Genomic DNA, 15,316 nt, shown 5'->3' with positions numbered 1-15,316 from the left:
CAAGGTCATCAGCTGAGAGAGAAGATGGAATGGAAATACTGACAATGTGAATGCAAGGGAAAGATATAATCATCTAAGCAATGGGAACGTGAAAGAACTAGAGTTAACAAGACAGCTGGGCAGCACTAAACCATGAACTTAAAGTCATTAAGTACTAGCCAAGAATTGAAAGTCAACATAGCTGTTTGCTCGAGCCATATTCACCTACAAGTATACAGGTATAAAACAGATGGAGTTGGTTTTCATCAAGGTTTGGCCAAGCAAGAACAACTCAGGGAGAGAAGTCAAGAGGGTTGAAAGTAGACTCAGAAGAGCAAGTGTAATGACAGGCTTTGGGAACTCAGCTAGTTGGAAAAGGAAATGAGGATATGAGGGTACGATGTAACAGAAAAGGTGGCAAATGAGAAAGTCCCAGTGAGATGAAAGAATTAAGACTCTTGGGTACTAGAAGTAAGCCAGAAAAATAGGAGGTGGTAGGTGGAGAGTAAAATGTCAGAAACTGATAAAGAAATCAGAATCTCTGGGAGTGAGTCCTAGGCATCTATAGTTTTTCAAAGCTCCCCAGTTAATGCAGATGCCCTGAGAGTTTAAAAGCATCTGCACAGGATATGCCACAGAGTTGAATGGCTAAGATAAATCAATGGAGGAGAGGAAGTCAGGAAGCCAGAGTATTGCATGTTAAGTATTCTTTACCCAAAATGCTTTGGGCCAGAAGTGTCTCAGATTTCAAATTTTTTTCAGATTTTGGAATATATGTACCACAGAGCATCCCAAATCTGAAAACCTGAAATCTTCCAATGAACATTTCCTTTGAGTTGTCATGTCAGCACTCAAAAAGTTTCTAATTTTAGAGCATTTCAGATTTTGGATTTTCAGATTACAGATAACCTATATGAAAAGCATCTGTATGGATCCTGAAATCACCAACAACTACATGACTGGAGTAGTGGGAGAGAGCCCAGAAGTCTAGATGCAGCAATAAGAAACAAACAGAACATCTCTGTTCCCAATAGGAGGAGCCACCACTAAAGAACTCTTCAGGGGAAGGAGTGCCCTCAGGAAGAGAGCTCAGTTTCAGGTACAGTAAGGAAATCAAGGTATTGTTTAGAGAAGAGGTTAAAAAGAAACGGTGTTTTACAGGTGACTGACAATAAACTCTAAAAGGCACAGAGGAAAGGTTTCAGAGTCACACAGTGGTGAAAACTGGGGTCAGACAAGAGAGACGAAGGAAAGAGAAGGTTCAAGCCAAACTAGTGGAGGAGAATAAGGCCAGGAAATCTCAGAAAGCAAGCTGCCATTCACTCATTCATTCATTTATTTATTTGAGACAGGGTCTCACTCTGTTGCCCATGCTGGAGTTGCAGTGGTGCTAACACGACTCACTGCAGCCTAGACCCTCCCAGGCTCAAGCTATCCTCCTGCCTCGGCCTCCCATGTAGCTGGGACCACAGGCATGTGCCACCACACCCAGCTAATTTTTAAAATTTTTTGTGGATACAAAGTCTCACTTTGTTGCCCAGACTGGTCCAAACTCCTGGCCTCAAGCAATCCTCCCACCTCAGCCTCCCAATACTAGGATTACTAAAGGCGTGAGCCACCGTGCCCTGCCTTGCCACATTTTTTAAAAGTACAGAAAAGCAAGAGAAGAGAAAGCTCTGTAAATTTAAAAAATGCTTTCCTAAACCCAGCCACACTCTAAAATATTTTTAAAATTTATTTCAAATAAAAATGAGTCCCAGAAAAGTATCAAGGTTAATCTCATACGAAGTTGCTAGTATAAGAAATGAGAGAATAGGAGTAGAATATCCCTACAGACAATGAAGGCATGCCAGAAAGACATGCCCATATAACAGACCAAAACTGTTAACATGCTATTGCAAAATAAGGTAAAAGATCTTTACTTTAAAGAATAAGACCAAAAAAAGAGAAAAAACTGGGGTCAGAAAGGCAGAAACACAGAACTATAAAGACAGGAATTACTGGCAGCATTGGGTTTCTCATGATATAAAAGGGATAAAGTATACCGTGAGATTAAACCTGAAAATCTCAGGGCATATAAGGATGGTAAAACTGCATGTATAGAAGACACTTATAAAGAAAGGAGAATCAGACTTTTCATCTGCACAAAAGGCTTGAAGACAGTGGTATAACGTGTACATGCTGCATGAAAAAAAAGGATTATGATCCATGAATACTATGTCTGGTCAAAATACCTTTCACTAATCAAGATAAAAGACATCTTCATTCAAGTAAGGATTAGGAAATTATGCCATATACATTCTGGGGAAATTATTCCAAAATTTTATTAAATGCTTTGCTGGCATCTATTGAAATCAACATGGGGCTCTTTTTTCCAGTCTCCACAACTCCCACAGTTGCAGCCAGCAGTACAGATATGGCCAAATCCAAGAACAATATCACAGAAGACCAGTCCTGAAAATGGCACAGAAATGGCTTCAAGACATTCAGATTCTAAGGAATGCATAATTCTGCCAACAAGCCCAACAAAAAAGTCCTCGAAAAGATTCAGGCCAACATTTCCAAGGCAATGAGCACCTATACAGAGGCCAAAAAGGTGCTCCTCAAGCCCAAAGTAATCAAATTGGTACTCTTAAAAGGTACCAGCCCTGAACTGGATATCACCCACACCATCCATCCCAGTCTCTTTCCCAGCTGTCCATACTGTCAACATACTAAGCTTTGGCAACCAATGGCCAGTAACGAGGTCAAGGCCAAGGCACAGGACCCATAGAGTCCCCTCTAAAGACCCCAGAATAAAGACTTTTGTCTATCAACTTTTAAGACCAAAGAACTGTATAAAACTTGGACTGCTGTCCACATGGGCAGGCATCTCCCTATGCTATTTTGTATAAATACAATACGAAGCCCCTAACTCTCCCCAAAAAAAGAGAAATAATCATGTAGTTTTTATCTCAGAATGTGTTAATATTATACAATATTTTAATATTTTAATGCCCTTGCCTTCCTGCAATAAACTCTACTTGATCATAGTGTATTACCTTTTAAACACGTGGCTAGATTTATTTTGCTAATACTTTATTTCAAATGTTTGCTTCTCTAGTCATAAGAGTGAACTAATGTTTATAATAGCAAAAAAAGGAAACAATCTTAACATCCATCAGTTGGGAAATAACATAATAAATTATGGTACAGTGTACTATAAAATATTATTCAGCTTTTAAAAATTAGAGTTCCATTTACTGAACTGAAGTGATAGCCATGATATATTGTTAAATGAGTAATACATGTTACTAAGCAATAAATAATATGATCCCTATTTAATTAGAAAAACAAGAAGCCTGTATATTTATGTGTATATGCTTATATATTTTTGAGCAAAGAGAAACACACTGAAAAAATACTCCTTATCAAAGTGTTGGTTAACGTTGGCTACTCCAAGGAATATAACTAGAGAAGGGAGAAACCCGAGGGGAGAGGAAAATATCAACTTTTTCTTTATTGACTCCTAGAGTTTGTTTATTTTAGTGGTTGCAAGCAGATGTATTACTTTTGTAATTTAAAAAAATAGGTAGAATGTTAGGGGATGGGGAGAATATTACTTTTGTAATTAAAAAAAAATAGGTAGAATGTTAGGGGATAGGGGAGAAATACCCCAGCTGCCCATTATAAGTAATGACAATTAACATTTGTTGACAACCAATAAATGCCTACATTTAACATATCCAAAGACAAAAACAATTAAATTATCTAAAGCAAGGAGAAGACTCATTATATGAAGTTATTTTAAAATTCAAAACAATCCAATCTGGAACCAAATTTGCATATAAGTAGTCTTTCCCAAGTGCATTAAGTGAAATGTCTTCAGGATGAACTATTCTTTAGTTTATAACTAGCACAAACTTATCAGTTTATAAAGATCAGGAAAACTAAAGATGAAACTAAGAGAAAATGAGTCAAGTTCATTTAAAGAAAAAGATTCAATAATTATACTAAAGATACACAGATAAGCAGAAATTGACAAAGTGCTACAGAAATAACTGAAGCTTAGGGAAAAATGGGATTGTTATATGTCAAAAATGTTTATGTAGAAACAGAATGCTTGTTCCCTGGGGCTGCAAAGAAATAGCACTTGAACATAAATTTAATTCTCTCAGCAAGGCCATTTTTACTTTCTGCAGAAAGGGTACACTCGCCAACAGTTTTGCCACAAGAGTGCATGGAACAAAGGAGACAGGGTCATTTATAACCTGACGCGTCCACCTTACTGCTGTGTCTGGTTTCCATCGGCTGGAACGGGACCTCACATTCTGTATTTGTCACGATTGGCTAGCGACTTGGAACTTTTTAAAAGAGGCAAAGGCAGAGGAGAACAAAGGAAGGAGGAAGTAACTTGTGGAATGCTAAGAAAGGTAAAAATACTTCCAAATAAGGAAGAGGAACAAGCTACGACCTAATGCTTTCTTGGACCAGTATAAGCATGCCAGGGCAAGTATTTAGGCTAAATTGTGAGAGCTAAGAATATAAAGTACATTAATTTTTTTTATTACAGGTAGTATTTAAGAATGTTAGCACGGATCTTTGAATAAATTTTGCTTCTAAGAGAAGTTACTATTTATTCCTAATTAGACGGGGAGGAAAGTTTCTTTGAAGAGGAACCTCTACTTTATTTTTTACAAGATTCTAAATAGTTAACTGATTATACCACAGAAAAAGGGGCAAAATTTTCCAATATATTATTTTACACTGTAAATAGATAAGTCCCTTTTTTATTAAGTAGGTAGATATCAAAAAAAAAAAAACCAGACAAACCCTCCAAGCAGTCCACCTTGACTGACTGTCACATACAATGTTTCAAAAAAGAAAGATTACAAAAAGCTGTCAACCTGAGGCACTGGCTGGGGGTAGGGGTGTAAGGAGCAAAGTTCAAGTTATTATTCACAAAAAAAGATATTTGTAGAAGTTAAAACTGTTTACATAATCAAACTGAAGAAAAGCTGTCAAGGGGCGCATCTCAAGAAACACTATGATTTGAGATTTTATAGAAAGGATTAAAATTAATTTTTGTCAAGTTAGTAGTGTTCAAAAGAAATAGTCCAAAAAAAATGCATAAAAAGAGTAGGCCCAGCAGTATCTGAGTTTTTCGGTTTACAGTTATTCAAAAACTCTTTCTCTCAGCTTTTATCAAATACTTCACAAAAGAAAATTTAAGGATATGAATAAAATAAATCAGTATCCAAACTACCATGGGTTTCTAAAATGCCTTGCAAGGCTGAAAAGGAAATCAAGACAAGATAACAAAGAAAAGCTGGAGTGACAATGCCAGTAAAAAATTGGGAGGAGCTGGCATATATCAAAAAAGAAAAATTTAGGATACTTTCCACAGGCTAATAAAAATTACCATTTATTAAGTACTAGACATCGTCCTAAGGATTTTCACCAAGATATTTTTCATTTCATCATCATAAAAACCCTGTGAGATAGATTTTTGGCCCCTCATACAATTAGTGACAGAGCAGTAATTCAAACCCATTTTCATGATTCAAAACTCATAAAGTCATATTCTTTCCAATATATACTGGTCTCATCATTGGAATTTCTAAACTTACAACTGAGCAACAGTACTGTCATCCTATAATATAGGAATGTCTGAATAACAGCTTTCAAACAAAGTCTGTCTCTACATTAAAAAAAAAAAAAAATTAAAAAAAAAAGCCCGAAAATGGAAAAGCTGATTCTCTGATCCTGAGGCAGAATATGGGTGTATGTGGTTGGACGGTTATTTATGTGGTTTAATAAGTCTTCATTCCATAGGCCCACTAAAGCTATTTACATTCATTCACACTAATTCACAATCCCAGGGTGCCCTAGAGGATTCCATGGAATTTGAACAGAAATAGAATTACAGAGTACAATAAATATGTATCAAGTTTCTATAACCTATAACCTAACTAGCTGTGCCTTACCAAATTTCAGCAACCACAACTAGAAATTGTGGGATTCCTCCACCCAATGAAAGATTAGGAATAAAGGGCTAAGAAGTGACTACCTTCATTTAGGCAGACAGAATTGCCTGAGATCTGAGATTTGAAGCACATTCTCCAAGCATAAAATGACTAAATCACAATCTCTATATACCCACTCTCGTTTCCAAGTTCAATAACTATAATCTACTTATAAGGCTGGATTAACCAGGGGATTTCCATGGCAGTAAAAAACTGGGGCCATATTTCTTAATGTTGTCAATCTTTATAATCAGCTACGTCATCATATGATAATGCTAGCATGGTATTACAGACAAGGAAATAAGAATGGCTACCTGGTCCAAAGATCATCCATTTGGAATGACAAGTTTTCCACTATTATTGCTTACGTACTTTTCTTTATGAATTTTATGTCTGTAACATTGGCTGATATCTACGAAAAGGAATATATCAATCACTGCCTTTTCATAACACTTTGCCACATAAAGAAAACAGTAAAATCTATCATCATTGGCTTACTGAACTTCAGGGAAGTGGCAAATATTAATAGTATGGTACATATGTTTTTGAACTATATTTTTCCCAGGGGTAGAAAAAATATGTAAGACACAGGATTCTGAATTACAATTTTAGCTTTTAAGGAAGAATATGAAATTTCCATCCCCAAGTCAAAGACAATAGTAGTAAAATTAACAACTTATACATAGTAGTCAATAAATATTTAAATGAATGAATATGTTAATACACTCCATAAAAATACCCCAGTTTTTCCAACATAACTAATCCACCTCAACTTTTAAACTTTACACACAAGGTGTCTGCCTAACAAACTAATATACAAAATCAAGGTTTTTAAAAATATAACAATGATCTTTTATTGCAAAAAATGTATATGAGAAACTGAGATGTGAGCGAAGAAAAACATTCTACTACATGCTGTTCTCCAAACTCCTCTCCACCTTTTAAAGAAAAAAAAAGGAATAGAATCTTGAAACACACTTTGTGAGAGTCTTATTCAGTGTTAGATGTAATAAGGGTGTCATCAGAGAGGTACAACAGGGGCCTGTGAGATAAATCATTACAAAAGCAAAGTGGCCAATCTTCTCAGTAAATAGAAGGAATTATGCCCTGCGAAGCCCTTCAAAAAAGTAGCTGGTATATCTCCAACTCATGATATTCAACGAACACTTAATGGGCACAGGCTATGTAACAGACCAAGGACTGACAAACTTATTCTCTAAAGAGCTAGCTAGTAAATATTTAGGCTTTGCAGGCCGTATGGTCTCGACAGCAACTAGTAGTCAACTCTGCTGCTGCACCCAATACCCAATATGTAAATAAGTGAATATGGCTAAGTTCCAATGGAACTTTCTTTATGGACAATGAAATTTGAATCTCCTTTAATTTTCATATGTCATGAAGTATCATTCCTCCTTTGATATCTTTTCAACTGCTTAAAATTGTAAAAACCATTCTTAGTTTGCAGGTCATACAAAAACAGACAATGGGCTGGATTTGGTCTATGGGCTATAGTTTGGCAACTCTTGCATTGTACAAAGAAAATCATTTGGCTAAAGTTCAGAGAATCTTCTCATCTTCCTCTTGCCACCAGCAAACATAAAAAAGAACAAAATCTGGTTTATCTTTAGGGTTAGTTTTAGTTACAGTCCAGGACTTACTCTGAGTAATATTTTAGATGGTGTGTATATTTCTCTAAACCTACCTCCTGGTGCCTAAAGTTTCCTCTAATTCCACAATAAGAGATGAGGTTTCAAAGGCATAACTGAGATAACGGTCAACAATCCTCACTCAATAAGTAGATAATGAGCACCTACTATGTACTAACTATACTGATGCTGAAAAGATGAAAAGTCACAGTGCCTGCTTAAAAGCTCACACATTAGTGATGAACCAGTCATATTAAATATTTAAAATATGTTACGGCCGGGTATGGTGGCTCATGCCCGTAATCCCAGCACTCTGGGAGGCTGAGACGGGCCGATCATTCGAGGTCAGAAGTTCAAGACCAGGCTGGCCAACATGGCAAAACCCCATCTCTGCTAAAAATATAACAAAATTAGCTGGGCATGGTGGCACATGCCTGTGATCCCAGCTACTCAGGAGGCTGAGGCAGGAGAATCACTTGAACCCAGGAGACAGAAGTTGCAGTGAGTCAAGATGGCCGCCATTACACTCTAGCCTAGGCAACAGAGTGAGACGCCGTGTAAAAAAAAAAAAAAAAATGCGGCAACTACTATATACACCAAGTGCAAGGGGAGAATAGATAGAGAACATCATGCCCAAGCCCACCTGGAGGAGTAAGCAAAACCTTCTTCACTCGGAAGACATTGGGCTAACGCATGATGGCTGTGAAGCAGTTTGCCCAGAGAACAAAGGAGAGGGCAGGAGTAGTCCATGAAAAAAAGAACTTCATAAAGGCATGAAAAGGTAGGAGAATACTACATACTGAAGGAACCACACACAGTTTACTACCGCTAAAGCACTTTGAAGACAGAAGTGGCAGGCAATGAGTCTAAAGAGGAGGCAGGGACCAGATCATTAAGGACCTTAAACGGTTTGCTAAGGAGTTTCCACTTTATCCATTCAGTGATGAGGAGCCAGTGAAAGATTCTGAAGAAAAAAGTGACATGATCAAATGACTATCTAGAAAGATCACTCTGGAAGCAACGCAATGGAAGAAATGTAGGCAAAGTTGACAAAAACACTAAAGGTGTTTCCTCAGCAATTGGATTTTTAAAAAAACACACCAACAAGATCATTTCTATAATGCAACTACTCAGTTTAAATGAGTGACATGAGACTCTCTTAAGTTCTGATAAACAAAGAAAGGAGTTTAAGATGCACTATAAACCATGTAGTGAATAAAGACAGAAATTGATATTACGGGGAAGAAAAGGCATAATAGAACACTAACACAATTATTTTGACTCTTAAATTTAGTAATGCTTACCTTTAACTATTCAAGAGCAAACAAGAGACCGAACATAACAAGATACGTCATGTGTGGCCCACAACAAAAAAACAACTTATATGACATATCCACAAACACAGCTTTCACATAATTTATAAAGATTTTTTAAAATAAACTGACCTAATAAATTTGTTTCCAGAAAAAATTATGGTATTATAGTTACTTTGACCCTTCTAGAAAAAAAAAGGTCCCAGAAAGTTTTTTCACTAATTGCGTAACCTGCTTTAGCCTTCTAAAACTCAGACCCAAAGTTCCTGTTCTCCATCTAATATTACCTTGAATCTTAAATACGCAAAGTAAAATGTCCTCTGAAACAGCGGTCCCCAACCTTTTTGGCAACAGGGACGTTTTTCCAGACAATTTTTCCAGAGGGTAGGGGGGCAGAGATGGTTTGGGGATGAAACTGTTCCACCTCAGATCATCAGGCATTAGATTCTCATAAGGACGGACAACCCGGATCCCTCTCATGAGCAGTTCACAATAGGGTTCAAGCTCCTATGAGAATCTAATGAAGCTGCTGATCTGACAGGAGGAGGTGCTCACACAGTAATGCTGGCTGGCCAGCCACTCACCTCCTGCTGTGCACCCTGGTTCCAAACAGGCCATGATGGTCCAGGGGTTAGAGACCCCTGCTCTAAAAGAAAGAAAACTGGCTGGGCACAGTTGGCTCACACCTGTAATCCCAGCACTTTGGGAGGCCAAGGCAGGTGGATCACTTGAGTCCAGGAGTTTGAGATGAGCCTGGACAACAGAGTGAAACACTGTCTCTACAAAAAGTACAAAAATTAGCTGGATATGGTGGCACGTGCCTATAGTCTCAGCTACTCAGCAGGCTGAGGTGAGAGGATCGCCTGAGCCCAGGAGACGTAGGCTGCAATAAGCTAAGATCACACCACTGCACCCTACCCTGGGAGACATAGTGAGATCCTGTCTTGAAAAGAGAAAAGAAAGGGAAAGCGAAGGGCAGCAGGAGACTGCTGAGTGGGAAAACACAGCTCTAGTCTTTAAGCTCTTCTTTAACCTATTTCTCTCCGTGGCCTTTTCAAGAAACTCATCAGGGATATACACTCTGCATCACCATACACACATCTCCTTAACTCATTTTTTTTTTCATTTTAAACGGTCTTCATCTAATGCAAGTTACTACAAAAGACGCTATTCAAAGAAACCAAGCGGTATTCTCACGGTATTACAACGAAGTCTAAACTATTTATTTGTATAGTATATTTACAGAGTGCCTTTCCCTCAAAATAATCACAGCATTTGATGACTACAGGCACATTAAGCAAATATAACAATGCTGAGTCTCAAGTCATTCAGAAAGAAAAAAAAAGTCCAAATAATTGAACTAGCTTCCAAACTATTTTATAATATTTGGTGCCTTGATTAGACTAGTACTAGAAGAGTAAACAGCCCTCTGCAACAGCTTGTTCTAGCTCCCTGAATTAAAATCTGCATATTGTACTGTCAGCAAAAATATCCCAGCTAACATTGGTGATTCTGGGTAAGTTCAATCCAACAATATTCAGCTAGTGTGCCCAATCAGAGTGTCTCAGATCTCATTTTAATTCTACTGTAAAAGGAAGAAATATGACAAGGAGAGGATTTTCATGCATTTCTTTTATGCACACTTGTTCTACCATATATTCAATCAGTACCAACTACCCTAATAGTCCCCTTTGAAATGACTGGATTAGTATACTCCTTTCTAGGGTCTCCTTCCCTCTCCATTCAAAATAATTCATACTCACTTAAGAAATAAAGAGCAAAGGCAGTTATGGGGAAAAGAAGAAAAAACAGAGCTAGCGTGGGACAGTCAAGAATTCATGATGGAAGAGGGAAATAATCTATTAATGTTTAACAATGTTAGTAAAATCCTAATTTGCAAACCAAATTAAGTTTTACAAGTGAAGTATGCTAAAATGAACTACCAACCAGTAACCAATACAAATACAAAGCATAGTCTGAGTGTATGACAATTTATTAAATATATTAAATTACGTAAGCATATATGCTGAATAAGTTTTAGCCATAAGCAGTAGATTATATTGAATTCCCATATCAACAAATGTATATAAAAAGGGAAGTGTTTGGTTACATGAGATATGCAATTCGCAGCACAATAAGGAAAGGTTTCTGTTGAAAAAGAATGGCAGAAGCAATTTGGCTAAGAGAAGAAAATAACTATTATAATTGTGAAAGATGATGTTCCATTTCTTAAACTGGGTAAAAGGCATGTAAGTGTTGGCTGCATTGTGAAGTCTTTATATTTTACACATTTTTATAAATACTTTGTCATATGTGGTCAATATCTTATAAAACAATGTTTAAGTGTGAGAAAAATCTGAACAAACATTTGTTGACATTAGAGGTAAAATGTACATAGGCATCTAATCCATTTGTGCTAATTATGGTAGTTTTTAATATAAATGAAAAAGAGGTCATAAAAATATGAGTAGGAAGAAAAATATTGTAATTTATCCTTAATTTCCCTACAGAAAATAAGCAGTAAAGGTTTACTGGTGCTCTTAAAAAGGCTGTGTGTGTGTGTATGAATGTGTATTTATATACACACACACACACACACACTATATTAAACTACTTGAAATTAACTTTTTACCTCTGAAGTTCCCTTCAAACCAACCACCATCACAAATATTTCCTTAACCACATAAAAAGTACTAATACTCCTCTACGCATAATCCCAGAAATAAGTTAAAAAACAAATTCCTAAAGAGAAATGTTCACACTGCAAATAACTGTATCTTTTGTATATATGCAGACTTAACATCTATGTGAGTTGTCCAGGTTTATCCACATCTATTGTACTTGCTTTATGATGGGCACATGCATTTTAATTATGCCTTGCCAATACTACCTTGAGTGAGAGGGCAATATAGCATATTGATGAGGAGCACAGGTTCTGGAGCTAGCATTCCTAAATGGAAACTTAGCTCTTCTACTTCTCAGCTATATAGTATTGGGCAAGTTATTTAACCTCTCTGTGTTTCAGATTCTCATCTGTAAAACAGAAATAACAACACATACCTCATAGGGTGTTGGAACTGATTAAAACAACGTACAACGGGACTGGCAAAGAATAGGTGCTACATAAATGTGAGCTGTTACTACTAGTACAGCTGGCCCTTGAACAACATGGGCTTAAACTGTGCTGGTCTACTCCTATGCAGATTTTTTTCAAGCAATACAGTATTCATGGGATGCAAAAACCGAGTATATTGAGGGCCGACTTTTCCCTATACATGGTTCCATACACCAACTGCGGGATTTGAGCATGCAAGGATTTTGGCATATGTGGGGGTCCTGGAACCAATCCCCTGCATACAATAAGGGAAGAATGTAGTAGTAATTGTATTGCACCCTCTTCCTGAAAGTACCAAAAACATTCTTAAGCAATCTGAATTCCTAACATCAAATGCTACCTATATTTAAAATAGACACCAAATCTGAGGCCTGATTAACAGTAAGTTTAAAGCCCTTCAACTCTGAAGAAAATAGGTGATTCACAGATCTACATAATACTCTATCAAGAACAATCTGAGAGGACTGGTTCCCCGAGCGCAACTATCAATTTCTTCCCTTACACAAGGGGGCAGTGATAACAAGAAAAGAATCGGGCTCTGTAACACCTCTTCCTACAGACAGTAGGGGGTGGCAGTACATATGGCTTACAGTCAGAACAAAACAGGAAGACCCAACAGAATTCTCTTTATTCTCCTCTGGCCCTTTCCTCTGTTCTTCAGCCCCAACAGCTTCTCAAGGTAAGGGACATATCTACAGAAAAGACTAAAACCCAAAATCAATCACCAAGGAAAATCTATTTTTGTCTTTGAAGCAAATGATCCCTCAATGGCTGAATTTGGATCTAAGGGAAAGCCAATCAGTATGAATTTTCAGATTATCTGGCAAATTACTATAATGAGAACAGCATTCACACATGTAATTTAATTTCTTTACAAGAATTATAACATAAAACATTAAAATCTCATCAATAATTAAGTACATTCTAACGAACACATTTCCATATTTCTGCTTTTGTTATATAGTATATTCACACTCATTGTATGTATACATATAAGTTACATTAAATAGATCATGGAGTTGTCTTTTGTTACTTCTGAAATTCCAGCTATGTTCTGACAATCCTCTCGAAACAGATGTTCTTAAATGGAAGTCACAATGTTTTGCAGCATGTTGGTAATTTCTTATGTATGTATAATATACATGCACATATATCTATATAGAGACATAAATAAATATCTAGATACAGAGGGGAGCAAGAGAGAGGGAGAAAGAGAATGTTTAACGTTTTATTTCGTGCTCACATCCCTAAGAGGATCTACCTGGGAAATGCTGCAAGAAGCACTCCACTGACAGTATCCATGTTGTTGCTTTTTATGCCAATTTACTGTATTCTTTTTTTTTTTTATTTCACCATCCCAACACCAAGAACATACAAGAATATTTTAGTACTGCCGTTCTCTATAATTAACCATTGTGATAGATACTGGCTCCAACCCCTCAAAATGCCTGAAAATCTATCCCTTTTGTTCACCACACTGCTTTGTTTTCCTCATTACAGATATTTTCACCTGTGTAAAAATCAGGAAAAGGGCACATACGAAAAATACTTCCCTTTGCCTAATGATCTTTAACTCATAATTATGGTCAAGACGTTTGGGGTTTTGTTTGTTTCTTTTCCTGGAGAGGAGCAGAGAAGAGAGTGAAAGACACCCGAAACACCAAATCTTCTTCCTAATGTTAATTATCATTGTTTATGTTTTGTGAAGACCATTCTAAACATTCCACACCTGGAAATGAAGACTGGATACAATTGTACCAATGCTCTACACGCTGATGGCAAAACCTGGAATTATTTTAGCCCTATTTTTTCTTTCCAATCTCACAGCCAGACACAATTTGCTTTTTTTCTTTCACGTGGTTACTTTCTCTACCTCAAAAAAAATAGCTTATCATAGCTCCTCCCGATTTCCTATGGCAAAATATCTAGCAATGAGCCTTATTAATCTTTTATTATGCTACACCTCCTTTCCCAGAGGAATTATTAATATCGCTAATAACACTTCGACCATGAATTTCAACGCCACAGAGGCCAGCCCATCCTGTGCCTTACCTGGCACATTTCGCAACTACTTTTATGCTGCATTCTGGGGGCACATTTTGCAACTCGTTCTGCACCACATTCCCTGCCACGTTTAGCAATCCGCCTCGCATCTTATCCTTGGTCCCCGTCATCCAGAGACGCTCTAGGTACCAAATTCCATGACATCTTCGGTGACAGCCAAGTGGCGACCCCACACGCCTCTGAAGCCCGCCTTGGTGTCATATTCGGAGCCAGCCTTCCCCACGCCTTGGACACCGAGGCACTTCGCTGCCCATTTCGCCGTCTCCCCGCTCGCCCCCGCCCCTCTCCCCGGAGCCGAGGCTGTGGAGGCGAACGACCCTGTCACTGAAGCGACCTTTCCTCGCCCTGCTCCCCGGGCCCCTTACCTGCCGCTCTGAGGGGCTCTCTGCACCTCCGGGTCAAGCCCCAGTCCCCGGGGTCTCCTGTGAGGACCGCGCCGCCCGCCGGCGCCGCCCGCGATTCCCGGAGCACCTCGCAGTCCTCCAACGCCCCGCGGCGAGTCTGCACCCCGGAACGGCGCGGCGGGGCCTCGCAGCCGGCGAGCGCAGCCCGCGGCGGTGCTCCTGTCAGCGGCGGCTCGGGGGCCAGCTCTCGCCCCTCGGCTCGGCTCGGCGGCGGCGGGCGCCTCGCTCCGCCTAGCGCGCGGCACAGCCGGGAGGTGAGCGCGAGGGGGATGGGAATGGGGGCGGGGCCGCCCGAAGGAGGCGCGGAGGGCGGTGGCGGCGGGAGGGCAGCGCCAGCGGCCCTAGGCCGGGCGCTCGGAGCGCTCGCAGCTTCCCCCGCCGGGCGGGCGGCTCGCGCGAGGCGGCTGTGCCAGCGGGCCCCGCCGGAGCAGCGCGCCCAGCAACCCGCGCCCCGCCGGCCGCTCGCTAGCGCCGCCGCCGCGCTGGGGGCGTCGCACCCTCTGAGGCCGCCCGCAGCCCCGCCCCCTCCGGGCTGGGGTGGGGAGGGGCGCGAGCGCGGAGGGAGCGCGCGTGCGTGGGGGCGCGTGCGTGGTGGAGCGCGCGCGCCCCCGCCCCTTCCACAGTTTGGGGGTGGGGAACGGCTGGAAGAGGGAGTGGGGACGCAGCCCTCCTCCGCGCGGAGAGACGGGGCCCTGGCTCTGGCGCTCTGGGATGTCCTGGCATTTCTCGTATCCCCGGGGGGCTCGGACTTGTGGGTGGCATTTGGAGGGGCAGCAGGGAGGACGCTCGG

At 39.8% G+C, this 15,316-nt stretch overlaps 1 protein-coding gene across 16 annotated transcripts in view, besides 1 other annotated feature; it reads right to left on the bottom strand.

Annotated features, from left to right (window-relative positions):
• The window catches only part of TANC2 (tetratricopeptide repeat, ankyrin repeat and coiled-coil containing 2), a 461,469-nt gene extending 446,467 nt beyond the window's left edge, over positions 1–15,002 (bottom strand). For all 16 annotated transcript variants that reach the window (XM_011524597.3, NM_001394998.1, XM_006721810.4 and 13 more), the window contains exon 1: positions 14,488–15,002. The gene's annotated coding sequence lies outside the window, so the exon portion shown is untranslated. The remainder of the gene's footprint in view (positions 1–14,487) is intronic.
• Positions 14,926–15,115: a silencer, noted in NCBI's record as "silent region_8814". NCBI's record gives its function as "represses an Ori minimal core promoter by ATAC-STARR-seq in GM12878 lymphoblastoid cells {active_cell/tissue: GM12878}" and the evidence as "EXISTENCE:reporter gene assay evidence [ECO:0000049][PMID:35858748]".

The sequence above is a fragment of the Homo sapiens genome, chromosome 17 (genome assembly GCF_000001405.40).
Source record: "Homo sapiens chromosome 17, GRCh38.p14 Primary Assembly".
NCBI classification, from domain to species: Eukaryota; Metazoa; Chordata; class Mammalia; order Primates; family Hominidae; genus Homo; species Homo sapiens.
This window is presented reverse-complemented; position numbering and strand designations above follow the sequence as displayed.